Source organism: Homo sapiens, chromosome 1 (genome assembly GCF_000001405.40).
Source record: "Homo sapiens chromosome 1, GRCh38.p14 Primary Assembly".
Classification (NCBI taxonomy): Eukaryota; Metazoa; Chordata; class Mammalia; order Primates; family Hominidae; genus Homo; species Homo sapiens.
In genome coordinates, this window is record NC_000001.11 from 44,739,837 (window position 1) to 44,767,814 (window position 27,978).

Below are 27,978 nucleotides of genomic sequence, written 5' to 3' on the forward strand. Positions count from 1 at the left end.
AAACTGCGGCGGTTTACGCGGCGTTAAGACTTCGTAGGGTTAGCGAAATTGAGGTTTCTTGGTATTGCGCGTTTCTCTTCCTTGCTGACTCTCCGAATGGCCATGGACTCGTCGCTTCAGGCCCGCCTGTTTCCCGGTCTCGCTATCAAGATCCAACGCAGTAATGGTGAGGAGCGGGGTCCCTAGGTCAAGGGGACTCGTGAGCGGTGAGACGACTGAAATTACTGCCCGTCCCCGGACACACAGATGGGCTTTCACTCTCTTTCTCTCCCTCCCTCCTTTTCACACGCACTCACTCCGGGTCTCTGCACTGGCAGTCATTCTTGCCTACACAGGGGTGAGAGTCCCTGCGCTGTACGTGGTCCCTTTCGCAGTCCTCTGGGAGTGGGCGGACCTTCTCCAAGGCTGGTAGACCTCCCAGGGAAGTTGGGACTTCTAAATTCACTTCCCTTCCAAAATTCTCCCCTGAAAATGCCCTGCTCTTATGGGGACCTCGGTCTCCTGGCCCCTTTACTCTCGAATAAATATTGCGCAGTTGCGGTATGTCAGGTAAACGGGACAGACAAGAACCCTGCGCTTGAGGAGCTTGTAGTCGTTCTCTCTTTTGCTTAAGCAGGTACCGCAGTTCTGGCAGGTCTGATACCCGTGTCATTAGGGAAATGGACAGATATGACCGCCAGAAATGAGTTAGGAAAACCCCAAAAGGGCCAGATCCTCAATGCTATGTTGAGGAAAAGTTCATCTAAGGGTTGTGGGGAATCCTGTGCTCAAACATACCTTTTGTATGTTCTCTTTTGTAGGCTCTATCTCTCTTTTTTTGTAGGCTCTCTTGAGTAGGGGTGAATCCTTATCCCATGCAGCTCAGTTTAAAAACCTGTCCCCAGCCCACCTCACTGTGGATATTCTAAAGGTGAAGCCCAGGAGATTTATTTGTTTCTCTTAGTTTTTTTTTTTTTTTTTTTTAAGGTAGCTGCCTGTTCCTTCAGGTTAACTCCACTTTGGGAATCTCTGTGGAATCCTAAAAGTGAAGCTCTCAGGAAAGAGATGGGTAACTCTGGTTTTTTCATACTTTATAGGTTTAATTCACAGTGCCAATGTAAGGACTGTGAACTTGGAGAAATCCTGTGTTTCAGTGGAATGGGCAGAAGGAGGTGCCACAAAGGGCAAAGAGGTAGGTTCTATGAGAATTCCTCTACCACATTTAATGTCTTCCTACATAAAGGATCTGTGCAGAAGTGGAATCTGTGAGAGCCTAGTTTCTGATGCTGTGCTCTTCTCACTCACGCCTGTAATCCCAGAACTTTGGGAGGCTGAGACGGGCAGATCACCTGATGTCAGGAGTTCGAGACCATCCTGGCCAACATGGCGAAACCTGTCTCTACTGAAAATACAAAAATTAGCCAGTCGTGGTAGTGCATGCCTGTAATCCCAACTACTTGGGAGCCTGAGGCAGGAGAACTGCTTGAACCTGGGAGGCGGAGGTTGCAGTGAGCCGAAACTGTGCCGCTGCACTCCAGCCTGGGTGACAGTGAGAATCTGTCTCAAAAAAAAAAAAAAAAAAAAATTGGCTGGGTGCGGTGGCTCTTGCCTCTAATCCCGACACTTTGAGAGGCCTGGTCTGGAGGATTGCTTGAGCTCAGGAGTTCGAGACCAGCCTGGGAAAAATGTTGAGACCTTGTCTCTACAAAAAAATTAAAAATTATCAGGGTGTGGTGGCTCACGCCTGTGGTTCCAGCTACTCGGGAAGCTGAGGTGGGAGGATTGATTTAGCCTGGGAGGTTGAGGCTGCACTGAACCATGATCGAGCCACTGCACTCTGGCCTGGGCGACAGAGTGAGACCTTTCCTCAAAAAATAAAAATGGTCTTCTTGGCTGGGCACAGTGGCTCACATGTATAATCCCAGCACTTTGGGAGGCCGAGGTGGGCAGATCGCTTTGAGCTCAGCAGTTCAAGACCAGGCTGGGCAACATGACAAAACCTCATTTCTACAAAAAATACAAAAAACATTAGCCGGGCATGGTGGTGCATGCCTGTGGTCCCAGCTGCTCTGGAGGCTGAGGCTGGAGAATTGCTGGAGTCTGGGAAAGCACAGGTTTCAGTGAGCTGAAATTGCACCACTGCTCTCCAGCCTCCTGGGCAACAGAATGAGGACTTGTCTCAAAAAAAAAAAAAAAAAAAAAAAGAATGGTCCCCTTCCAGATGCATTGGGATTTTATTTAGTCAGGTCCATTCTAAATTGAAGCAATCAATAATTTTCTGGGTTTTTTTTGTTTGTTTGTTTGTTTGTTTTGAGACAGAGTCTCACTCTGTCACCCAGGCTGGAGTGCAGTGGCGAGATCTCAGCTCACTGCAAGCTCCGCCTCCCGGGTTCACGTCATTCTCCTGCCTCAGCCTCCCGAGTAACTGGTACTACAGGTGCCCGCCACTACGCCCGGCTAATTTTTTGTATTTTTAGTAGAGATGGGGTTTCACTGTGTTAGCCGGGATGGTCTCGATCTCCTGACCTCGTGATCCGCCTGCCTCTGCCTCCCAAAGTGCTGGGATTACAGGCGTGAGCCACCATGCCCGGCTCTGGTATGTTTGTAGAAAGCAAACTGCAGCCAGGCGCAGTGGCTCATGCCTGTAATCCCAGCACTTTGGGAGGCCGAGGTGGGCGGATCACTTGAGATCAGGAGTTTGAGACCAGCCTGGCCAACATAGCGAAACCCCCATCTCTACTAAAAATACAAAAATTAGCTGGGTGTGGTGGCACGGGCCTGTAATCCCAGCTACTTGGGAAGCTGGGGCAGGAGGATCACATGAACCTGGGAGGCAGAGGTTGCAGTGAGCTGAGATCATGCCACTGCACTCCAGCCTGGGCAACAGAGTGAAACTTCGTCTCAAAAAAAAAAAAAAAAAAACAAACTGCACAGAATTTTAGGTTTTAGAAAACTTTGCTTGCCCAAGCTAGGTTCTGCATGCACACTACCTGTGATATCAGTTTGGTGAATGAAATCAATAACCTGGTTGAGGAGACAAAAAGACGTTTCTGAATCACCAACTAACCAACTAACAGAAGACAACTTGTGATGAATGGCACAGATGAGCATTGCTAGAGCAGCTCAGAGGTGGAAACTTGCTGAGAATGGGCTGGGCTTAGAGGGTGGAGTGTGAAGGCTTAGCTGAAGCAGCAAGATGGCACACATGGGGACCATGAAGAAGCTGGCCACGAGCAGTGCAGGGCCCAGGATGCTTGGCAGCCGCAAAACAGCTGAAAAAGGAGACAAAGGTCTTCATGTCTGGCACTGAGCTGGTTAGGTTTTCTTCTGTAGGCAGTGGGGAACCTTGGAAGGATTTTGAGGAGAGCACTGTGACTAAGACATTTCTGTTCTAGTGGCATTGTGGTGTAGTGAAAAGGTCACTGGGCTAGGAGTATGAAAACCTGGATTCTAGTCTGGCTCTGCCACTGCTTTGTGTTCTCAGGCATGTTTCTGCCCCTCTTCGAAGTTTAGTTTCCTCATCTATAAAGTGAGGATGATAATAATGTCTACCTCACAGGGTTGTTGTGAGGATTTACTCAGCACATTTTTTGGACTGCTTCCAAAATGCTAGACACTTATTGGGTGCTAGGGATACAGAGGTGAAGGAGACAGACTCTTGGACTCTCTTCCATGGAGCTTAATAAAATAATACATGTAGCTGGGCACAGTACCTGTAATCTCAGCACTTTGGGAGGCTGAGGCAGGAGGACCTCTTGAGGCCAGGAGTTTGAGTCCATCCTGGGCAAATACAGCAAGACCTCATCTCTACTAAAAATAAAAAACAATTAGCCAGTCATAGTGGCTTGCGCCTGTGGTCCCAGCTACTCCAGAGGCTAAGGCAGGAGGATTGCTTGAGCCCAGGAGTTCAGGGCTACAGTGAGCCACTACACTCCAGCCTGGGTGACAGAGTGAGACCCTGTCTCAAAAACAAATAAATAAAAAAGATAAAACATGTAAAAAGCTTGCTTAGCATAGTACGTATAGTAGAGATATTTAGGTGGTATATTTGAGAAATAAAAGGATTGAATACTTTCCATTATCTGCCCCTAAAGAATTAAGAGGTTCCTAAAATTCCTTTCAACCAGCTATTATCAGTCTTTTGTGATTTGTTTTTGTTGCTTGTTTAGAAATATATCCCTTGTTTTACCTCAGATCAAATACTGCTTTTGGAATAAGATCCGAACTTCTTAGTGGGGCATTCAGAGCCTTTTCAAGCTCTGGTTTTTTTTTTTGTTTGTTTGTTTGTTTTTTGAGACAAAGTCTCACTCTATCGCCAGGCTGGAGTGCAGTGGCACGATCTCCCTCAGTGAGCCGATTTCGGCTCACTACAACCTCCATGCCCCAGGTTCAAGCAATTCTCCTCACTCAGTCTCCCAAGTAGCTGGGATTACAGGCACCTGCCACCACACCCAGCTAATTTTTGTATTTTTAGTAGAGACAGGGTTTCCCCATGTTGACCAGGCTGGTCTCAAACTCCTGACCTCAAGTGATCTGGCCATCTTGGCCTCCTAAAGTGCTGGGATTACAGGCATGAGCCACCACATGTGGCTCAAGCTCTGATTCTAATCACCCTTTTTCTTTGTACCACATACTCTTCTTCCACATATCCTATGCCCTGGCAAATGAGGCAGTTTACTGCTCTGTGACTGCCTAATTCCCTGCTGCCTTTACACTCTTATTCCTTTCTCCTGGGATGTTCACCCTGAATTATCAACATGAGAATCAGTTGATTGTCAGAGCAAGGCTTAAAACTCTGGTTTTCGCGGGTCGTGGTGGCTCACACTTGTAATCCCAGCACTCTGGGAAGCTGAAGCGGGCGGATCATGAGGTCAGGAGTTCAAGACCAGCCTGGCCAATATAGTGAACCTGCATCTCTACTAAAAATCCAAAAACTTAGCCGGATGTGGTGGTGCGCACCTGTAGTCCCAGCTACTCAGGAGGCTGAGGCGGAAGAATCGCTTGAACCCGGGAGGTGGAGGTTGCAGCGAGCTGAGATCGCGCCATTGCACTCCAGCAGCCTGGGCGACAGAGTGAGATTCCGTCTAAAAAAGGCCGGGCGTGGTGGCTCATGCCTGTAATCCCAGCACTTTGGGAGGCTGAGGTGGACGGATCACCTGAGGTCAGGAGCTCAAGACCAGCCTGGCCAACGTGGTAAAACCCTGTCTCTACTAAAAATACAAAATTAGCTGGACATGGTGGCGCATGCCTGTAATCTCAGCTACTCAGGAGGCTGAGGCAGGAGAATCACTTGAACCTGGGAGGCGGAGGTTCCAGTGAGCCGAGATCATGCCACTGCACTCCAGCCTGGGCACCAAGAGTGAAACTCCATCTCAAAAAAAAAAAAAAACCTCTGGTTTTCTTTGTTGTTTATGCTCTCTGTAGTTTAGGGGTTAGAAATGGGGGAGGTATGTACCAAGAGTCTGTGGCTGTCCCAGAAGTGTGGATAGAAGTGTGATTACTGAAGTGCTTGCCAGCTTTTGCATTTAGTGATTCTATCCTCCTTTTTTTTTTTTTATTTAAATCTCATTCTGCTTTGATTTCCTTTGTACATATGACTTATAATCCCCATTAGAAATTGAGCTCATGGTGGCAGGGGTTGTATATGTCTTTTTTTTTTTTTTTTTTTTTTTTTTGAGACAGTGTTTCGCTCTTGTTGCCCAGGCTGGAGTGTGATGGCGCTATCTTGGCTTACTGCAACCTCCGCCTCCCGGGTTCAAGCGATTCTTCTGCCTCAGCCTCCCGAGTAGCTGAGATTACAGGCATGCATCACACCTGGCTAATTTTTTATTTTTAGTAGAGACGGGGTTTTTCCATGTTGGTCAGGCTGGTCTTGAACTCCCGACCTCAGGTGATCTGCCTGTCTCAGCCTCCCAAAGTGCTGGGATTACAGACGTGAGCCACCACGCCCGGCCTATATATGTCTTAATTCATCTTTGACTACCTTCCCCCTGTAGGCTGCTGTCTTCGTGGTGCCTAACAAATGTTTGAATAGGCAGCAAATAACTGCAGATTTCTTTTTTCTTTTTCTTTTTTTTTTGAGACGGAGTCTCGCTGTGTCGCCCAGGCTGGAGTGCAGTGGCGGGATCTCGGCTCACTGCAAGCTCCGCCTCCTGGGTTCACGCCATTCTCCTGCCTCAGGCTCCTGAGTAGCTGGGATTACAGGTGCACGCTGCCACACCCAGCCAACTTTTTGTATTTTAGTAGAGACAGGGGTTTCACCGTGTTGCCCAGGCTGGCCTTGAACTCCTGAGGTCAGGTAATCCGCCCACCTCGGCCTCCCAAAGTGCTGGGGTTACAGGCGTGAGCCACCGCACCCAGTCCTGCAGGTTTCATCTCTAGGCAGTAAAGCCCTCACCCTAGAGTACATGCTTCAGCTCTGTCACATTTTGAAATACAAAGTTGGGACAAATTTAATATGTCTGAACCTGTTGTAAAGCTATCCTGGTGAAGTTTGAGTTGTTCCTGGAGAATTGCAGGACTCTGATGATGTAAACTTAGAATTGTGACCTCATTGCAGGCATCAACAGGAAATAGGTAAGGCATGGGCAGGAAGCCGTAACTGGGGAAGTTTCTGGGCCCAGAAGAAAATGTAGGTAGTCTTAGGGTTAGGTAGCAGCTGTCAGGAACTTGCCCCTGCCCATAAGATCCTAAAGGGCCCCCATTTGACTCTCACCAGACAGTTAGAACTTGTTTCCTCCTCCGTGTCAGCCATCAAGAGGTGCTTGGGGGGCTGTGCCCAGCAGGACCTCACTGCCCAGCAGATCAGCAGGGGAGCCAAGTGGCCTAGATCTGCTGTGGAGTACCCGACTGTTTGCCTGCCTGTCTGCCCTCCTCTTCACCTCATTCTCATCACTGACGTCTACCATTGGCTTGGAAATCAGAAACCCATATCCATCTAGATGGTAAACCATTATTAAGGAGTAACTATTTGTTTTATAGCTATTCATACTTAGTGGAACTTAAAGTTGGTAAAGTTTGAATTTAGGGGTACCCCTGTCTATAGAAATTTAATTTTTTCTATGTTGTTTTTTTGTTTGTTTGTTTGTTTTTTGTTTTTTGAGACAGAGTCTTGCTCTGTTGCCCAGGCTGGAGGGCAGTGGCTCAATCTCAGCTCAATGCAACCTCCGCCTCCTGGATTCCAGCAATTCTCCCGCCTCAGCCTCGGGGGGGCCAGGCACAGTGGCTCACACCTGTAATCCCAGCACTTTAGGAGGCCGAGGTGGGGAGATCACCTGAGGCCAGGAGTTTGAGACCATCCTGGCCAACATGGTGAAACCCTGTCTCTACTGGAAATACAAAAATTAGCTGGGCGTGGTGGCGCATGCCTGTAGTCCCAGCTACTCAGGAGGCTGAGGCAGGAGAATTGCTTGGACCCAGGAGGCAGAGGTTGCATTGAACCAAGATCGCACCACTGCCCTCCAGCCTGGGCGACAGAGCGATACTCTGTCTCAAAAAAAAAAAAAAAGAAAAAATGTATTTGGATTGAACAATGTTGTTTCATTGAAACTTTTACTTGCTCCTTGCAGATTGATTTTGATGATGTGGCTGCAATAAACCCAGAACTCTTACAGCTTCTTCCCTTACATCCGAAGGACAATCTGCCCTTGCAGGAAAATGTAACAATCCAGGTAGGTGCCTGTCATCTGGCTGCAGCCAGTGCGCCAGAGAATTCACTTTGCTTATTGACTCTTTGCTGATTGATTGTCTGGCATTTTAGCATAGTACATGGGCCCAGGATGGGCCCTTGAGAATTGATAAGAGCCATATATTGTGACAATTTGATTTGTTTTTCAGAAACAAAAACGGAGATCCGTCAACTCCAAAATTCCTGCTCCAAAAGAAAGTAAGTGGATTTCTACTAGCTTACTATCATGGAATTTGTGTCAGGAATTATGTTTCTAGGACTCAGAGTTGTGGAAGCTCCTCTTTTGCAGGTGGTTTCTATGTGGGTTGAGTCCTGCCTGTGTTCCAAGCATCTTTCTCTATGAGAAAGAATCCAATCTACAGCTATCAGGCCAACCTTTAAGAGACCTGGTGCATTTAGGAAATTTGCTGCCTGGCCTAGAAACCTTTTCTGTAGAATCCAGAGCCTGATGCTGAGGAGAGTAGGAATCAGCCATTGGTAGGCCTTTTTTCTTCCCTCGGGGCTCAGCCCCCTCAGTGGAACAGTATGCCTTGGAAAGAGATTTTGAAAATGGGAGACACTAGGCCTGTGGGTTGTTTAGAAGTACAGTTGGTGGCGCTATAGAGAGGGATGGCTGGGGCTGGAGAGAATAACAGCATTGCCTCGTGGTCTAGGAGGTTGGGAGTCTCTCTGCAGAAGTAGTCTGTGAAAACCTACTTTGACAACATGATAGACTGTGACTCTAGGGGGTAAGCTTCCCAAAAGATCCAGCTTAAAGCCAGTTGTACCTTGAAGGCTGGTGACCTGCACAGCTCTCCAGGTCTAGGGGTCATCATTGCCCTGAAATGATTCAGCTACCTCAGGGACTCACAGAATACTTGGCTGGAGCTTCAGGTTCTGGGGGCCCTGAGTGGAAGGTGGTGCCATTGCAAGCTTGGGCCTGACTATTGTGGTGCTGGCCCTTTCTTGCTGGGTGTACCGTAAGGTCATGCAGGAGAGTTGGGACTCGCAGCAGTCCCATTCCGTGTTCATGTCCTCAAAGGATATTGCCCCAGCTTTGTTTTGTTTTGTTTTTCAAAGGCAGGGTCTCACTTGGTTGTCCATGCTGGAATACCATGATATGATCGTAGCTCACTGTAGCCTTGAACTCTTGGGCTCAGGCAATCCTCCCACCTCAGCCTCCCATGTAGCTGGGACTACAGGTGTGCCCCATCACACCTGGCTAATTTTTTTTTTTTTTTTTTTTGTAGAGACAAGGTCTCACTATGTTGCCTGGGCTGGTCTCAAACTCCTGGCCTCAAGTGATCCTCCTGCTTCAGCCTCCTAAAGTGCTAGGATTGCAGGCGCGAGCCACCATGCCCAGCCAATAGCTTTTTTTCTTTAGGATGGAGTCTCGCTTTGTTGCCTAAGCTGGTCTTGAACTCCTAGCTTCAAGCAGTCCTCCTGCCTCAGCCTCCCAAAGTGCTGGGACTACAGGCACACACCACCATGCCCAGCTACACAGCTCATTTTAATGGAAAAAAAAATCTTTAAGGCCCTGAGCAGTAGCTCATGCCTGTAATCCCAGCACTTTGAGGGGCCAAGGTGGGCAGATCACCTGAGGTCAGGAGTTCCAAGCCAGCCTGGTCAACATGGTGAAACCCTGTCTCTATTCAAAATACAAAAAACTGGCCGGGTGTGGTGGCTCACACCTGTAATCCCAGCATTTTAGGAGGCCAAGGCGGGTGGATCACCTGAGGTCAGGAGTTCAAGACTAGCCTGGCCAACATGGTGAAACCCCTGTCTCTACTAAAAATACAAAAATTAGCCAGGCGTGGTGGTGGGTGCCTGTAATCCCAGCTACTCAGGAAGCTGAGGCAGGAGAATCGTTTGAGCCCGGGGGGGCAGAGGTTGCAGTGAGCCGAGATCATGCCACTGTACTCCAGCCTGGGTGACAGAGTGAGACTCGGTCTCAAAAAAACAAAGAAAAAAAATTACAGATCATTTGGGGCTAGATGTGATGGCTCACACCTGTAAGCCCAGTGCTTTGGGATGTTGAGGCAGGAAGATGGCTTGAACCTAGGAGTTTGAGACCAGCCTGGGCAATATAGCAAGACTCAGTCTTATTATAAAAATAAAAAATAAAATAAAATCATTAGGGAAATAGGACGATTGTAAAAATTCAAAACATGGATTATATATAGCCATCAGCCTGAACTTATAATACTCAGAAACTGGGTAGAAGTTGGTTTTGGCAGAGGTTGCAGTGAGCCAAGATCATGCCACTGCACTCCAGCCTGGGTGGCAGTGTGAGACTCTGTCTCTCAAAAAAGATGGGCTGGGCACGGTGGTTCACACCTGTAATCCCAGCACTTTGGGAGGCCGAGGCGGGTGGATCACAAGGTCAAGAGATTGAGACCATGCTGGCCAACATGGTGAAACCCCGTCTGTACTAAAAAAAAAATACAAAAATTAGCTGGGTCTGGTGGTGCACACCTGTAGTTCCAGCTACTTGGGAGGCTGAGGCAGGAGAATTGCTTGAACCCAGGAGGTGGAGGTTGCAGTGAGCCGAGATCGCGCCACTGCACACCAGCCTGGGCAACAAGAGCGAAACTCCTCAAAAAAAAAAAAAAAAAAAAGATTCATAATACTTTTTCTCAAGGACTTAGATTAGGTCTCTCTCTCTCCAGAAATGTTTTCAGGATAGCTATAGGTTCCTGTACTTACTCAAGACAGCCGCTCTTTGTGGGAGATATCCTTGCCCTCAGGAGCTCCTAGATTTGCACAATGTGGACAAAGAGGTTTTGGGGTTACTGGTACTTGGTCTTTCTAATTTTTCCTTTCTAAGGAATATGGGAAGTTGGCGAGCCCCTTTCCTGGTAGCTGGGACCTATTTCACCTTGTACAGAAACTTGGAGGTTTGCCCCTGACCACCCTCGAGATCGTGCAGCACTGACTGGCTACTGCTCTCGGTTCTCCAGGTCTTCGAAGCCGCTCCACTCGCATGTCCACTGTCTCAGAGCTTCGCATCACGGCTCAGGAGAATGACATGGAGGTGGAGCTGCCTGCAGCTGCAAACTCCCGCAAGCAGTTTTCAGTTCCTCGTGAGTAACGAATGTGCCCCCAACCACCATGTTTGAGGCCCTGGAGCACATTGCTTGGTCCCTGTGCTAGAATATCCTGAGATTCATCCATTCCCCCAGCTTCAGAACTGGTCTGCTCCTGCCCTACCAACACGGCTTTCTTATTTGGAAATCATCTCTTTTTTAAAAAAACTTAATTGAAACATTACACACACATAAACACAGACATGAACACATAGCATTGAGTATTTAGTTCTGTGAATTTTTGTAAACTGAACACACTTATGTAACTAACATGATCAGAGCATTACCAGTACTTCAAATCGCCTGAGTTCAAGCCCTGTTTGTCACATGGGGGCATGTTTTCCTGTGGCCATGGAATCAGTCTTTTGGAAGAGGTGAAAGACTAGGCAGAAGCCCTCTGAGATAGTTGAGGAGTCTAAGGTCTAAGTACACAGAGCATTGAGTATATAGTTCAGTGAATTTTCATAAACAGAACACACTCATGTAACTAACATGATCAGAGCATTAACAGAACTTCAAAAGTCCCTGTTGGGCATATTTGCAGCTCCTAATTCCCCCAAGGGTACCCATAATCCTGACTTCTAATAGCATTAATTAGCTTTTTTTCTTTCTGTATTTTATTATTTATTTATTTATTTATTTATTGAGACAGAGTCTCACTCTTGTCACCCAGGCTGGAGTGCAATGGCGTGGTCTTGGCTTACTGCAACTTCCGCCTCCTAGGTTCAACCAGTTCTCCCACCTCAGCCTCCTGGGTAGCTGGGATTACAGGCATGTGCCACCACGCCCGGCTAATTTTTGTATTTTTAGTAGGGGTGGGGTATCGCCATGTTGGCCAGGCTGGTCTTGAACTCCTGGCCTCAAGTGATCCGCCCACCTCGGCTTCCCAAAGTTCTGGGATTACAGGCGTGAGCCACCTCGCCCAGCCCTCTTTTTGTACTTTTTTTTTTTTTTTTTTGAGACGGAATTTTGCTCTTGTTGCCCAGGCTGGAGGGCAATGACGCTATCTTGGCTAACCTCAATCTCTGCCTCCCGGGTTCAATTGATTCTTCTGCCTCAGCCTCCCGAGTAGGTGAGATTACAGGCATGTGCTACCATGCCAGGCTAATTTTGTCTTTTTAGTAGAGATGGGGTTTCTCCATGTTGGTCAGGCTGGTCTCGAACTCCTGACCTCATGTGATCTGCCCGCCTTGGCCTCTCAAAAGTTCTGGGATTACAGGCGTGAGCTACTGCACCCGGCCCTCTTTTTATACCTTTTTTTTTTTTTTTTTTGAGATGGAGTCTCGCTGTGTCGCCCAGGCTGGAGTGCTGTGGTGTGATCTCAGCTCACTGCAACCTCTGCCTCCCCTGTTCAAGCCATTCTCTTGGCTCAGCCTCCCGAGTAGCTAGGACTACAGGTGCACACCACCACACCTGGCTAATTTTTGTATTTTTAGTAGAGACAGGGTTTCACCATATTGGCCAGGCTGATCTCAAACTCCTGACCTCGTGATCCACCCACCTCGGCCTCCCAAGGTCCTGGGATTACAGGCTTGAGCCACTGCGCCCGGCCTATATTAAATTGAATTTTTTTTTTTTTTTTTTTTTTTGAGACAGAGTCTCGCTCTGTCGCCCAGGCTGGAGTGCAGTGCTGCGATCTCGGCTCACTGCAAGCTCTGCCTCCCGGGTTCATGCCATTCTCCCTCAGCCTGCAAGTAGCTGGGACTACAGCCGCCTGCCACCGCGCCCGGCTAATTTTTTGTATTTTTAGTAGAGACGGGGTTTCACTCTGTTAGCCAGGATGGTCTCGATCTCCTGACTTCGTGATCCGCCCGCCTCGGCCTCCCAAAGTGCTGGGATTACAGGCGTGAGCCACCGTGCCCGGCTATAAATTGAATTTTAAGATTTTTTAAGTGAGTCAGATGAGGTGTGGAAAATTAGTAAATATAAATAAAAATTTGTAATGTGAATTATTTGTCAGTCTTTAATAGATTATATAAATTAGATGCAAATTGTGTAAGACACACAACCATTATACTTTACATATATCAAATTCAGCTCTAATACGATGAAGGTAAATGAATGGGTCATGACCACGTATGGGAAGTAATGAGGTGTTGTGGATTGGACCTTTCTGTATTGAATCAATCTGGTTAGTTATTGCCCCAGTTCCCTGTCACCCTAGATTTTCAGTCTTTGCTCCTGTTAACCACCTGGGTTCCTGAGGCTTGAGAGAAGTCAGAAAGGCCTGGCTTTTCTCCCTAAGACCAGACCTGGCCTGGCCTGAGAACCCATGCTTGGGTGAAGTCTAAAGAGTTCACGCTCTCAGAGGCTTTTCCCTTCATGTCAAAGCCCATACTGAACTGTTCACATACCCTTTAAGATATTTTGACCCCAGGAGCCAGCCCTTGCAGAAAGGGTGAGAGTGTGGGCTGAGGTGAAGGGAAAAGCACAAGCTCTGCACATACTGTAAGCCTTACCGAGCAGGCAGGTCGCTCTCCCGGCCCATAACCAGGGCCATGGGCTCAGGTGAGATGCCTGTGGTATACTTGCCTGCTTCTCCAGTGACTCTTGTTCCCCTACAGCTGCCCCCACTAGGCCTTCCTGCCCTGCAGTGGCTGAAATACCATTGAGGATGGTCAGCGAGGAGATGGAAGAGCAAGTCCATTCCATCCGAGGCAGCTCTTCTGCAAACCCTGTGAACTCAGGTAGACACACTGAGCTGTCTGCTGTTCTGCTTCTAGTGAGGCACAGATAGTTTACATCCTGTCCTAAACCTGGCCTACCTTGGCACCTGAGTTCAAGCCCTGTTTGTCACGTGGGGGCATGTTTTCCTCTGGCCATGGAATCAGTCTTTCATTATCAAGACAAAACAAGAACTGTTTCACTTCTGTGGTTGTTGAGAAAGTAGCCAAGATGCATAGGAAGAGCTTGGGTTAGAACTGGAGTGCAGTTATCACTATTTGACTTCATATTGGCCAGGCCACTACTTTGTGGACTTGTCCATCCCGAGAGTCACATCTATTACTTCTTTTTGCATATAGTGATTTAAGAGTAAGGATCTAGAGAAGGCCTCTCCCTGGGAAAGGCCCAGTACTCAGTAAATAGCCAGAGAAGAGTAGGCTGGCTTAAACTGGTAACAGAGTGGGCTTCCTTTTTTTTTCTTTTTTTTTTATGTTTTCATAGTTCGGAGGAAATCATGTCTTGTGAAGGAAGTGGAAAAAATGAAGAACAAGCGAGAAGAGAAGAAGGCCCAGAACTCTGAAATGAGAATGAAGAGAGCTCAGGTACCTTTCTTGGGAGACTAGGGTAAGGGTTTTTGGACAGGTGTCCTTAACCGAAACTCTACGGGCAACAGAGATACAGTTGGGCCCCAGCATTTCTGAGGCTCCAGTTCTTGAGGCCCCAATTCTTTTTTTTTTTTTTTTTTTTTTTTTTTGCTCTGTTGCCCTGGCTGGAGTGCAGTGGTGTGATCTCGGCTCACTGCAACCTCCACCTCTGGGTTCAAGTGATTCTTGGGCCTCAGCCTCCCAAGTAGCTGGGATTACAGGCATGTGCCGCTAATTTTTTGTATTTTTAGTAGAGACAGAGTTTCGCTATTTTGCCCAGGCTGGTCTGGAATGCTTGGCCTTCCAAAGTGCTGGGATTGTAGGCATGAGCTGTTGCGCCTGGCCTCTGACGCTCCAATTCTGATATCCAGGAAATTTAACTGGTTTATCAGGATTCAGAGAACAAATAATTCAGAAATGTTTCTGAAGGCCCTCAGATGAGGAACATTTCATGCTGACTGTCTAGTAAGCAAGCCCATCACATGCTCACATGGCGTGATGGCCAGAGGGGCTGCAGGGCACAATTGGTCTGCTCTCTCCTATCCTCCCCCAAGTTGTACGTATTTGGAGGGCAGGGACTGCAGTACAGTCCCCTTATTTGGGTTCATTGCTTCTGGGAAGCCCGATCTGCTGTGCCTCCTAAAATGTGGAACTGGCCCTAGTTCCAGTTCCTAGCGTGCTTTGGCGTATGCTTAGGCCCCTCTGCCAATCTCTTCCCCAGTGCTTTGTACCTGGCTTCTCAACCCAGAGCCAGGGCAGGGACTTTGACAACTATGAAGGGTGGTGAGCAAAGAGCTGTTGCTGCTGCCGCATAGGGGTCTGAGAGCACTTATATCTTAACAGTCTGCCCTTTTTCACTCTCGTCTCAAACCAGGAGTATGACAGTAGTTTTCCAAACTGGGAATTTGCCCGAATGATTAAAGAATTTCGGGCTACTTTGGAATGTCATCCACTTACTATGACTGATCCTGTAAGTACATCCAAAGAACTTCTCTTTCTTAAGTGTACAATTGAGAGACAGAAAACTTCTCTTTACAGGAATGAGGGCATGCAGGAATCTTTACTCACCTTTGAGGGTTTTATTATTATTTTTTTTTGAGATGGGGTCTCACTCTGTCACCCAGGCTGGAGTGCAGTGGTACGATCTTGGATCACTGCAACCTCCACTTCCCTGGGCTTGAGTGATCCTCCCCACCTCATCCTCCCAGGTAGCTGGGACCATAGATGCATTCCACCGCACCCTACTGATTTTTTGTATTTTTGGTAGAGACAGGGTTTCACCATGTTGCCCAGGCCAATCTGGAACTTCTGGGTTCAAGGAATCCGCCTACCTTGACTTCCCAAAGTGCTGGGATTACAGGTGTAAGCTACTGTGCCTGGCTGAGGTTATTTTATTTTACTTTTTTTTGAGACAGAGTCTCGCTCTGTCGCCCAGGCTGGAGTGCAATGGCATGGTCTTGGCTCACTGCAGCCTCCACCTCCCAGGTTTAAGTGATTCTCCTGCCTCAGCCTCCCCAGTAGCTGGGATTACAGGCATGTGCCACCACGCCTAGGTAATTTTTGTATTTTTAGTAGAGATGGGGTTTTACCATGTTGGTCAGGCTGGTGTCGAACTCCTGACCTCGTGATCTGCCCACCTCAGCCTCCCAAAGTGCTGGGATTACAGGCGTGAGCCACCATGCCCAGCCGAGGTTATTTTTTAATATCCTTTGGTGGGCTGAAGCTAGTGAGGCCCACATGGGGAGGGGTCTGATCTTTATAAACTGGGTTCCACCCCCATACCATAGGTTGGCTAGATTCCTGCATTAGTAAAAATCATGAAAGTAGTGCTGAAACTCTTGTAGGCAGCAGAGTGAGAAAAATGGGAACAAAATCCAGTGCTCCCTTCTTGTGCTCTGGAGTATCTAATGGAGGATGCAGGGGTCCTAGTGTTAGATCTTGGCCTCTGACTGGGCCAGACATGGGATTGGAAGGGGTGGGAGTTCTGGACAAGCTCGCTTTTGAAATTGCTCTGACCCTTTGCTGTTGGTTGCCTCCTCTCATCCGCTTGCAGATCGAAGAGCACAGAATATGTGTCTGTGTTAGGAAACGCCCACTGAATAAGCAAGGTAAGTCCTGTTCAGTCAGGAAGAGGCTTCAGACTGACTAATGGGCCTTCTGTTTCCAGGGAGCACCCCCTGAAATACTCTCCTTCTGCAGAATTGGCCAAGAAAGAAATTGATGTGATTTCCATTCCTAGCAAGTGTCTCCTCTTGGTACATGAACCCAAGTTGAAAGTGGACTTAACAAAGTATCTGGAGAACCAAGCATTCTGCTTTGACTTTGCATTTGATGAAACAGCTTCGAATGAAGTTGTCTACAGGTTAGTCCCTTGCATCCATTTTTCCCTCCTTGTGCCCTTCCATCCCCTTTTTTTGTGGGACATCGTGGTAACACTACTCACAGACGTGCTGAATTCTGAGGCTCTTCCTCGCTTCTTGTGTTTTCTTTGGGTCACACCCTTTGGCAGCTTAGTGGCCCATCCTTGAGTGGATACTGAATGAGGTATCACCCGTTACGTGCTGAGGCAGGGCTGGCCAGGCTCCAGGGGTTCTTCTGTGCCTTATGCAGCCACACCATTGCCCACTGGGGTTCACAGATTTGGGGAACTCCAGATCTGCTCTATCTGCTTTTTTTTTTTTTTTTTTTTTTTTTGAGACGGAGTTTTGCTCTTGTTGCCCAGACTGGAATGCAGGGGCACAATCTCGGCTCACTGCAACCTCCGCCTCCCAGGTTCCAGCGATTCTCTTGCCTCAGCCTCCCACATAGCTGGGATTACAGGCGCCTGCCATCACACCTGGCTAATTTTGTATTTTTAGTAGAAACAGGGTTTCGCCCTGTTGGTCAGGCTGGTCTCAAACTCCTGACCTCAGGTGATCCGCTCGCCTTGGCCTCCCAAAGTGCTGGGATTAAAGGTGTGAGCCACTGCACCTGGCCCCAGATCTGCTCTTTCTAATACAGCACCCAGTACCCTCATAGGGATATTTACTTATTTTATTTTTATTTATTTATTTGTTTTTTGAGACAGAGTCTCAGTCAGTTGCCCAGGCTGGAGTGCAGTGGCGAGATCTCAGCTCACTGCAACCCCCGCCTCCCAGGTTCAAGCAATTCTCCTGCCCCAGCCTCTCAAGTAGCTGGGATTACGGGCACGTGCCACCACACCTGGCTAATTTTTTGTATTTTTATTAGAGACAGTTTCACCATGTTGGTCAGGCTGGTCTCAAACTCCTGAGTTCAGGTGATCCACACACTTCGGCCTCCCAAAGTGCTGGGATTACAGGCGTGAGCCACTGTGCCCAGCCAGTAGTGTCTCTTCTGCTGGAAGCTGGATGCTGAGCTTAGGCTTTTATGCTGTGTCTCCAGGGTCAGAGGAAAGGTCAGATGGCTTAGAGTATGGGCCATCAGCTTGCTTCTGGTTAGTCGGCCCAGTGATCCCCCAACACCCATCCCACTGCCAGTTTGCTAGGAGTATTTCAGATTTGTAAAGTGGGGTTGGGGTCAGGTGGGACCACTGAGGCAGGAGAGGAGTGCTATTCTTAGAAGGAGGAATCGACCCTAGAACTCTGCAGTGGAAGGGTGGCAGGACATGTTCCAGGGAGCACAGTTTGGGAACAGATACAAATACTCTACCCCTCTTCTAGGTTCACAGCAAGGCCACTGGTACAGACAATCTTTGAAGGTGGAAAAGCAACTTGTTTTGCATATGGCCAGACAGGAAGTGGCAAGACACATGTGAGTATTGAGGCCTGGCGGGGAAAGAGCCTTTCCCTTGTGCACCCCTGGCTCCCTATAAAGGGAGACAATGAGTTTGTTGAGAAAGGCCCCTTGTTACAGATGCCCCATCACCAGATAGCCTTGCCATGTCAGATGCAGGGAGGGGCTTTAGGTCCAGCCTTCTGGCTTTGTTGTGGCCCACTGTAGTGAAGGAGCCAGTAGTGCTCTGCTCTAGGCCAACAGCCCTTTTCCATGGTCTTCTACCCCTTCCCTTTGCAGACTATGGGCGGAGACCTCTCTGGGAAAGCCCAGAATGCATCCAAAGGGATCTATGCCATGGCCTGTAAGTACTGTGTACTGCTGCTTCAGGGTTGGGCACAGAAAGGCAGGTTGTTTGCTTAGCAAAGTTCTCTCCCTCAGCCCGGGACGTCTTCCTCCTGAAGAATCAACCCTGCTACCGGAAGTTGGGCCTGGAAGTCTATGTGACATTCTTCGAGATCTACAATGGGAAGGTAGCTGGCAGGAAGCCCCTTGTTTACACTGTTGGGGCCCAGCACTTTTTAAAACCTTGAAGCTGGCTAGAAGTTGAGGCCAAAAACCTATTAGCTGATTAGCTGTCAAGCCACTGATGGGCCATTCTGCCCTGGCATACACATGTAGGTGGTTTAATCTGATGGTGAGATGGCACCTAAGTTCAAGAAGTATGGCAAGAATACTCCTCAGGGCGCCCTTTCAGGTGCAAGGTTTGCCTGTGTGTGTCCTGACCTCCCTCGGCCGACCTCCTTCATCCCTTCTTCCCCGATTGTGCACGTTCAGTCTCATATTCATTCTTTCCCTGCCCGCACCACCATATATCTCTTCCACCCCTCTCTCTATTCACTGTGTGCTTCTGCAGAGTTGCTTTCCTTAGAGTGGGATCTAGATAATAAAAATAGCTAATATTTATCATTAATAAGATATTAGGGGCCAGGCGTGATGGCTCACACCTGTAATCCCAGCACTTTGGGAGGCCGAGGCGGGCAGGTCACCTGAGGTCAGGAGTTTGAGACCAGCCTGGCTAACATGGTGAAACCCCATCTCTACTAAAAACACAAAAAATTAGCTGGGCATGGTTAGGGGCACCTGTAATCCCAGCTACTCGGGAGTCTGAGGCAGGAGAATCGCTTGAATCCAGGAGGCAGAGGTTGCAGTGAGCCGTGATCGCACCATTGCACTCCAGCCTGGGCGATACGAGCGAAACTCCGTCTCAAAATAATAATAATAATAAGATATTAGGAGCTATGCACTATTCTAAGCACTACCTGTCTCACCTTTACAGATGAGATGCAAGGCTAGAGTGGTTATTAACTTGCCCAGGCTCACACAGCTAGTAAGTTACCAGAGTCACAGCAAACTGAGGCAGTTCGGCTCAGATCCCAAGTATATTGACCTCTGCTAGGCTGACATCCATCAGTTCGTATTCTCTGCCTTTCCTGCTGCTGGCTCTTGTCCGAGCTGGGCAGGCTAGTAGGAGGAAGCAGTCGGGTGGGGTGCCGGGTGCCCAGTGGCCTTAGCCTCATTCCCCCTGCCTGGCACAGCTGTTTGACCTGCTCAACAAGAAGGCCAAGCTGCGCGTGCTGGAGGACGGCAAGCAACAGGTGCAAGTGGTGGGGCTGCAGGAGCATCTGGTTAACTCTGCTGATGATGTCATCAAGATGATCGACATGGGCAGCGCCTGCAGGTGAGAGTCCTGGTGAGGGGAAGGAGCGACCTTCTCATGTCTGGTTTATGAGTAAAGTCTAGCTCTGAGCACATTTCTGTTTACCCAGAGTGCTGCTTTGCCCAGTTTGGTAAGGGCTGCGAAGGCCTCTGCTTTACGGGGTCTCAATAAGACATATGACCCCAGGGCCAGAGGCTTATCAGAACCAAGTCAGGTCAGGCACAGTGGCTCACACCTATAATCTCAGCAGTTTGGGAAAATGAAGCAGGAGGATCACTTCAGGCCAGGAGTTAGAGGTTGCAGTGAGCTGTGATCGCACCACTGCACTCCAGTCTGCATGGGCAGAGCAAGATCCTGTCTCAAAAAAATAAAAATAAAAACAAGTCAAAGTGTTACCCCAAAGGCATGCTTCCTGGCTTCTTTGGGTTCTCCTTGCTCTTCCCTCCCTTTGTGGTGGAAGTCGGGAGCTCTGGGTCTGTTCTGGGCTGGAAGTAATGGGTTCATACCCCCTCTGCACAGAATTAGGGGAGCACTTTTCCACTAGGGCTGTAGACATTGGTACAGTGGGGCGCTACGCAGCTATAGAGGCCCAGGGAGGGGGCTGCCCTCTACAGGGTCCTCAAGTTCTGGCAGGTGGTTCATGACAGCTTCCCCCTTCCCTTTGGGCCCTTTAGCAGAGGGAATTTATCCTTCCCCGTGTCCTTCTAGGGCTCCAGGTCTGACAAAGGCCCTAGTCCAGAATCCAGTACTAATTTGGCTGCCAGGAAAATGTATTAGGTCCAGAGCTGGAGGGAGAATTGCTACCCAGGGAGGGCAAGATGGAAGCCTGGGACAGGAAAACAGGACTTTTTCGCCTCCTAACCTGTGTCCCTCCCTTCCTAGAGAACTTCTGTGGACTTGGGTGCCATGGGGGCTGGTGACCACAGAATCTCATAACCTTTCTTTACCACAGAACCTCTGGGCAGACATTTGCCAACTCCAATTCCTCCCGCTCCCACGCGTGCTTCCAAATTATTCTTCGAGCTAAAGGGAGAATGCATGGCAAGTTCTCTTTGGTAGATCTGGCAGGGAATGAGCGAGGCGCGGACACTTCCAGTGCTGACCGGCAGACCCGCATGGAGGGCGCAGAAATCAACAAGAGTCTCTTAGCCCTGAAGGTAGTGGGGCAGCTAGAGCTGGTTGGCCGGGAGAGCTACTGGGAAGGGATGGGGAGGGATCAGTGCAAGGAAAGAAGGGACCTCAGTTGTTCCTGCTGCCCCCACAGGAGTGCATCAGGGCCCTGGGACAGAACAAGGCTCACACCCCGTTCCGTGAGAGCAAGCTGACACAGGTGCTGAGGGACTCCTTCATTGGGGAGAACTCTAGGACTTGCATGGTGAGTAGGGTCACTTTGAAGGTGATGGTACAGGAGGAGACAGAGTTGCTTTCCACAGAGACACTTAGTCCTGTCCCTGGGCTGGAAGCTCAGCACTGCTGGCTGCCTGGGTTTCCAGGCTGTACCGTGACTGGGCTTCCAGACCCTGCTTTAATGCACGAGACTCCTTGTGGCCTAACCAAGCGTGGAGGAAAGGATCTATTCCCTTTAAGATGTGTAGGTGCAGCTCTTGGTTTGGGAGAGGTCATTCCTGCATTACCTGATGAAAAGGGGGTTCCAGAATTCGGAAGATGGGCCTTTGGGTCAGCAGGAGAGGGAAGTCCTTGTCTTTTCCATGGCCTCCCTCAGGTTCACTGGCTCCCAGCCTAGAAAATAGAAATAGCCTGGATCATAAGGCTGTGTCCTTGAATGACGTCCTCTTTCCTGTTTTATCCCCAAGCCCCTGTATGTGAGATCTGCCATCCTTCCCCTCAAGAGAATATTCTCCCCTACCCTTTGGGTAGGAGTCCTTTCATGAGGAAGGTGGGATTTTCTGACTAAGCTCTACCTAAGGCATTATCCTTTGGCCTAAGGGAACTGAAGTTTCCAGCAGAAGCCACAGAGCTTTAAGATAGGACCTTGGGCTGGGCGCGGTGGCTCACGCCTGTAATCCCAGCACTTTGGGAGGCCGAGAGGCAGGTGGATCACAAGGTCAGGAGATAGAGACCATCCTGGCTAACATGGTGAAACCCCATCTCTATTAAAAAATAAAAAAAATTAGCCAGGTGTGGTGGCAGGTGCCTGTAGTCCCAGCTACTCGGGAGGCTAAGGCAGGAGAATGGCGTGAACCTGGGAGGCAGAGCTTGCAGTGAGCTGAGATCGCACCACTGCACTCTGGTCTGGGCGACAGAGTGAGACTCCGTCTCAAAAAAAAAAAAGAAAAAAGAAAAAGATAGGACCTTGGTAGCAAGACTGTCTCAGTGAAGGAATAATGAAGCAAAAGATAATTAGATGTGTCTTTGAAAGCAGGAAACCAATGTCTGAGGCACCTTAATTTGCAGTGCCCATGGGGCAAGTGGCCTAGCACAGCGCGGTGCTAAATGACTCCTCCCACCAATACCATGTGGGTCTCCAAAGCTTGAAGAAACACCCTGACTGGAGGCCCCTCAGGGACAGGCTATATAGCATCCTCACCGTGCCTCTCAGCCTTTAATCACCCACCCCTCTTTTGCAGATTGCCACGATCTCACCAGGCATAAGCTCCTGTGAATATACTTTAAACACCCTGAGATATGCAGACAGGTACTAGTACCTACAGCTAGGTGGGATGCGGAACAGGACTGGGCAAGGGAAGGGCAGTGATGAGAGGGGAGGAGGCTCTGGGGCCTCAGGGCCTACTGTATACTCCTCTGTGACTCTGAACCTGAGGCTTGGGAGTTCCGCCGTGATGCTAGGTCTGTCCCAATCCTCTCCGGGCCCTGCTGGAGAGTCAGCTGGGTGAGGGGCTTTTCCAGTCCAGCTTTAGTTTTCTCTCTCCTTGGCTGAAGGCAAGGTTGCCATTCCATCCCCTTGGAGCCTCAAGCCTCGAAGCCTGGGCGGTGCCACATTCCTCTGGTGAGTACCAAGGGGGTGCTGTGGGATCTGAGACCTCCTTGTTTCCTCAGGGTCAAGGAGCTGAGCCCCCACAGTGGGCCCAGTGGAGAGCAGTTGATTCAAATGGAAACAGAAGAGATGGAAGCCTGCTCTAACGGGGCGCTGATTCCAGGCAATGTAAGGACCAGGATGCGGCCAAGCAAGACAGAAGTGTGGCCTGCTGAGGCGGCACCTGGGTCACATAATTGTCTTTCTTTTTGGCCCTCTCAGTTATCCAAGGAAGAGGAGGAACTGTCTTCCCAGATGTCCAGCTTTAACGAAGCCATGACTCAGATCAGGGAGCTGGAGGAGAAGGCTATGGAAGAGCTCAAGGAGATCATACAGGTAGGCAGCTGGCCCTGGACAGGGAGCTGGATGCAGCACGGCCCTCAGTATGCTCCACACCATTCCCAGAACATGACCTGGGCCTTGTTCCCACAGGTATTCACATAGCAAGAAGCAGCCCTCTACACCAGCACTCTTTAATTCTTTGCCTGTTAACCCAGCTGTTCTTCTAATTATCACAACCCCTTCTGCAGGTTGGCACACATAGGCTTTCTGACATCACACTAGCCAGAGCTAGTCTCTCCTCCACGCTCCTGATAGAGGATTTGAAGGGTGATCCATATGCAGGGATCTTGTCTTGTGTTTTGGTGAATGTTGCAACTCTTGTGCTGAATCCAAGGGCCAAAAAACATGAAGTATAGGTAATAGGCCCTAAGGGTATGACTTGAGATCAATCCTGTCTCTTCCATTCACAAACTGATTTCCTTGTGAAATTCATTTAGCCTCACTGGGCCTCAGTTTTTGCATCTCTGAAATGGTCAAGGTAGGATGGTTGTATTTGAGCGTTCAGTAATATGCTTATAAAGTGTCAGCACAGTACCCAGTGTGTGGTCAGGGTTCAGTAACTGGTAGGTGCCCCTGCTACTGTAATCCCTACTGTGGAAGAGCAAGTGACTGGGAGGCAGGAATTTACGTCCCAATGGTGGGGCGCTCAGAGGATTGCAGAGCAGGAAGGAAGAACTTGGGGCAGGTGTAACTGAGGAGGGACTGTGAAGGGTAAGTGCTCAGGCCTCTCCTCCCCTTCCTGGAGTGCTCAGGGGTACAGAGTTTTGTAAGCACATGGCACTTTCAGGATGAATGAGAGGCTCACCGTGGTCAGAGCAAAAGGAGTGAACAGGTGATGGAGGGTAGTTAAGGCTGTGGACAGGTCAACAGGGATCTGATGCTAGAGTCTTCTAGATGGTTCATCTCACAGGCCTGGACTGCATCATGAGGAAGCCTTTGGAGGGTGTTAAGCAGAGTGGTGACATGGGCATGTCAGAGCTTTAGATATATCATATGGCCACCATGTGGAGCCTGGTTTGGGGGCTTGAGAAAAGCAAAGGTAGAGGCAGTTAGGAGATTGTTGGAAAGGGTTCAAGAAAAACTATTGCCAGCCAGGCGCGGTGGCTCATGCCTGTAATCCCAACACGTTGGGAGGCCGAGGCGGGTGGATCATGAGGTCAGGAGTTCGAGACCAGCCTGGCCAACGTGGCGAAACCCCATGTCTACTAAATACAAAAAATTAGCCGAGTATGGTGGCGGGCGCCTGTAATCTCAGCTACTTGGGAGGCTGAGGCAGGAGAATTACTTGAACCAGGGAGGCAAAGGTTGTAGTGAGTCAAGATCGTGCCACTGCACTCTAGCCTGGGTGACAGAGCAAGACTCCATCTCAGAAAAAAAAAAAGAGAAACTAGTGCCTAGACCAAACTGTGTCCGTGTTCATGGGATTGGAATGAGGACATGAGATTCATGAACCATTTAGATATACAAGCATGAAAATCTTACAAGGTACCCCCCAAAATATGTACTCTCTCTCTATATATATATGTTTTTGAGACAGAGTCTCACTCGTCACCCAGGCTGGAGTTTAGTGGTGCAATCTTGGCTCACTGCAGCCTCCGCCTCCTGGGTTCAAGCGATTCTCCTTCCTCAGCCTCCTGCGTACCTGGGATTACAGGTGCGTGCCACCATGCCTGGCTAATTTTTTGTATTTTTAGTAGAGATGGGGTTTTACCATGTTGGCCAGGCTGGTCTTGAACTCCTGATCTTAAGTGATCCGCCTGCCTCAGCCTCCCAAAGTGCTGGGATTACAGGTGTGAGCCACCATGCCCAGCCTATATATCTGGTTGGTTTTTGTTTGTTTGTTTGTTTGTTTGTTTTGGGGGGGGATGGAGTTTCGCTTTTGTCCCCCAGGCTGGAGTGCAACGGCACCATCTCGGCTCACCACAACCTCCACCTCCCAGGTTCAAGCAATTCTCCTGCCTCAGCCTCCCAAGTAGCTGGGATTACAGGCATGTGCCACCACGCCCAGCTAATTTTGTATTTTTAGTAGAGACGGGATTTCTCCATGTTGGTCAGGCTGGTCTCGAACTCCCTACCTCAGGTGATCCTCCCGCCCCGACCTCCCAAAGTGCTGGGATTACAGGCGTGAGCCACCACGCCCAGTCGTATATCTATTATTTAAAAAGAATCATTTGACCGGGCGCAATGGCTCACGCCTGTAATCCTGTCACTTTGGGAGGCTGAGGCGGCCACATCAACTAAGGTCGGGAGTTTGAAACCAGCCTGGCCAACATGGTGAAACCCCGTCTCTACTAAAAATACAAAAATTAGCCAGGCATGGTGGCAGGCATCTGTTATCCCAGCTACTTGGGAGGCTGAGGCAGGAGAATCACTTGAGCCCAGGAGGCGAAGGTTATAGTGAGCCGAGATGGTGCCACTGCACTCCAGCCTGGGCAACAGAGCAAGACTGTCTCAAAAATAAAATAAAATAATCATTTGGCCAGGTGCAGTGAGTCATGCCTGTAATCCCAACACTTTGGGAGGTCAAGGAAGGAAGATCACTTGAGCTCAGGAGTTCGAGACCAGCCTGGGTAACATGGCCCCATCTCTACAAAAAATAAAAATAAATAAATATCCCAAAGGTGGTGTGTGCAGCAAAAATTATAATAAAAAGAACTGAGGGTAGGGATAGCATTAGGAGATATACCCAATGTAAATGACAAGTTAATGGGTGCAGCACACCAACATAGTTCATGTATACATATGTAACAAACCTGCACGTTGTGCACATGTACCCTAGAACTTAAAGTATAATAATAAAAAAAGAAAGAAAGAAAGAAAAAAACCATTTAGGGAGCAGAATTGAGGAGGATTTGGTGACAAGTACGGTGAAAGAATAAAGTCACTCGGGCTGGGCGCGGTGGCTTATGCCTATAATCCCAGCACTTTGGGAGGCCAAGGCAGGCAGATCACAAGGTCAGGAGATCAAGACCATCCTGGCCAACATAGTGAAACCCTGTCTCTACTAAAAAATAAAAAAAAATAGCCTGGTGTGGTGGCGCGTACCTGTAGTCTCAGCTACTCGGGAGGCTGAGTTGTATACCTATTATTTAAAAAGAATCATTTGACCGGGCGTGATGGCTCACGCCTGTAATCCTAGCACTTTAGGAGGCTGATGCAGGCAGATCAACTAAGGTCGGGAATTTGAGACCAGCCTGGCTAACAAGGTGAAATCTTGTCTCTACTAAAAATACAAAAATTAGCCAGGCATGGTGGCAGGCACCTGTAATCCCAGCTACTTGGGAGGCTGAGGCAGGAGAATCACTTGAACCCGGGAGGCGGAGGTTGCAGTGAGCCGAGATCACGCCACTGCACTCCAACCTGGCGACAGAGCAAGACTCCGTCTTAAAGAAAAAATAAATAAATAAATAAATTAGCTGGCTATGGTGGTGTGTGCCTGTAGTCCCAGCTACTCGGGAGGCTGAGACAGGAGAATCACTTAAACCTGGGAGGCGGAGGTTGCAGTGAGCCAGGATCGCACACCACTTCACTCCAGCCTGGGTGACAGAGTGAGACTCCATCTCAAAAAACAATAAAAATAAAATCACTCAAATTTCTAGCTTGGGCATCAGGACCAATGATGTTATTCATTTGACATAAGAGATGGGGATAAGCTTGGGATAGGAGGCCGGAAGTGGTGGCTCAAGCCTGTAATCCCAGCACTTTGAGAGGCCGAGGCCTGCGGATCACCTGAGGTCGAGAGTTCGAGATCAGCCTGGCCAACATGGAGAAACCCCGTCTCTACTAAAAATACAAAATTAGCTGGGCGTGGTAGCACTTGCCTGTAATCCCAGCTACTTGGGAGGCTGAAGCAGGAGAATCCCTTAAACTCGGGGGGTGGAGGCTATGGTGAGCCGAGATCACGCCATTGCACTCCAGCCTGGGCAACAAGAGTGAAACTGTCTCAAAAAAGAAACAAAGAAAACGAAAAAAACAAGCTTGGGGTAGGAAGAGGGTGAATTCAAGCTAAGGATTTCCTTGGGGAGAGGGTGAACAGCCAGGGTATGGGTCAGGGACCAGAGGTAAAGCATCTTACTCAGGTGTCTGCATTGCAGTTGGTAGGACCCCAGGAATGATTTGCTAAATGGTTATTGAACTGACAAGGTCCTCCCTGTGTTGTAGCAAGGACCAGACTGGCTTGAGCTCTCTGAGATGACCGAGCAGCCAGACTATGACCTGGAGACCTTTGTGAACAAAGCGGAATCTGCTCTGGCCCAGCAAGCCAAGCATTTCTCAGCCCTGCGAGGTGGGTGTGGCTGGATGGGGTGCAGGTGGACGATGGTGGCCTCTGCTGGCTCTTGGGCAGCTGCAGGTGATGGCAGCTCTGCCCTGAGTGAATGGGGGCTCCTCAGACTCTCACTAACCCCATATGTACCGCTACCCTTTCTTCCAGATGTCATCAAGGCCTTGCGCCTGGCCATGCAGCTGGAAGAGCAGGCTAGCAGACAAATAAGCAGCAAGAAACGGCCCCAGTGACGACTGCAAATAAAAATCTGTTTGGTTTGACACCCAGCCTCTTCCCTGGCCCTCCCCAGAGAACTTTGGGTACCTGGTGGGTCTAGGCAGGGTCTGAGCTGGGACAGGTTCTGGTAAATGCCAAGTATGGGGGCATCTGGGCCCAGGGCAGCTGGGGAGGGGGTCAGAGTGACATGGGACACTCCTTTTCTGTTCCTCAGTTGTCGCCCTCACGAGAGGAAGGAGCTCTTAGTTACCCTTTTGTGTTGCCCTTCTTTCCATCAAGGGGAATGTTCTCAGCATAGAGCTTTCTCCGCAGCATCCTGCCTGCGTGGACTGGCTGCTAATGGAGAGCTCCCTGGGGTTGTCCTGGCTCTGGGGAGAGAGACGGAGCCTTTAGTACAGCTATCTGCTGGCTCTAAACCTTCTACGCCTTTGGGCCGAGCACTGAATGTCTTGTACTTTAAAAAAATGTTTCTGAGACCTCTTTCTACTTTACTGTCTCCCTAGAGATCCTAGAGGATCCCTACTGTTTTCTGTTTTATGTGTTTATACATTGTATGTAACAATAAAGAGAAAAAATAAATCAGCTGTTTAAGTGTGTGGAAAGGGCCTGGGATGTGTCTGAGCCTTTTGGGACTAAGGACATGACTGTA

General features: G+C 49.1%; 1 protein-coding gene and 1 non-coding gene across 7 annotated transcripts, besides 1 other annotated feature; both read left to right on the plus strand.

Annotated features, from left to right (window-relative positions):
• KIF2C (kinesin family member 2C) lies at positions 1–27,931 on the plus strand. Of its 6 annotated transcripts, none has more exons than XM_047441702.1 (21): positions 1–206; positions 1,077–1,171; positions 7,548–7,649; positions 7,816–7,864; positions 10,606–10,728; positions 13,296–13,418; positions 13,897–13,997; positions 14,914–15,009; positions 16,093–16,147; positions 16,239–16,401; positions 17,720–17,810; positions 18,072–18,135; positions 18,213–18,304; positions 19,370–19,512; positions 20,444–20,648; positions 20,756–20,866; positions 22,080–22,147; positions 22,510–22,615; positions 22,709–22,822; positions 26,990–27,113; positions 27,261–27,931. In XM_047441702.1, exons 1-21 carry the CDS (start codon positions 164–166, stop codon positions 27,341–27,343), a joined length of 2,151 nt encoding a protein of 716 aa, XP_047297658.1. In that variant the 5' UTR covers positions 1–163; the 3' UTR covers positions 27,344–27,931. The 6 variants fall into 6 exon arrangements, with proteins under 6 accessions (XP_047297658.1, NP_006836.2, XP_047297664.1 ...); NM_006845.4 differs by having other exon boundaries at positions 1–166; XM_047441708.1 differs by lacking the exon at positions 13,296–13,418.
• Positions 17,883–18,042: an enhancer, noted in NCBI's record as "active region_944". NCBI's record gives its function as "activates an Ori minimal core promoter by ATAC-STARR-seq in GM12878 lymphoblastoid cells {active_cell/tissue: GM12878}" and the evidence as "EXISTENCE:reporter gene assay evidence [ECO:0000049][PMID:35858748]".
• Positions 22,199–22,271, plus strand: SNORD160 (small nucleolar RNA, C/D box 160). Its single transcript, NR_145793.1, has one exon. It is a non-coding gene; the product is annotated as a small nucleolar RNA, C/D box 160 (small nucleolar RNA).
• Positions 27,932–27,978: the final 47 nt, after the last annotated feature.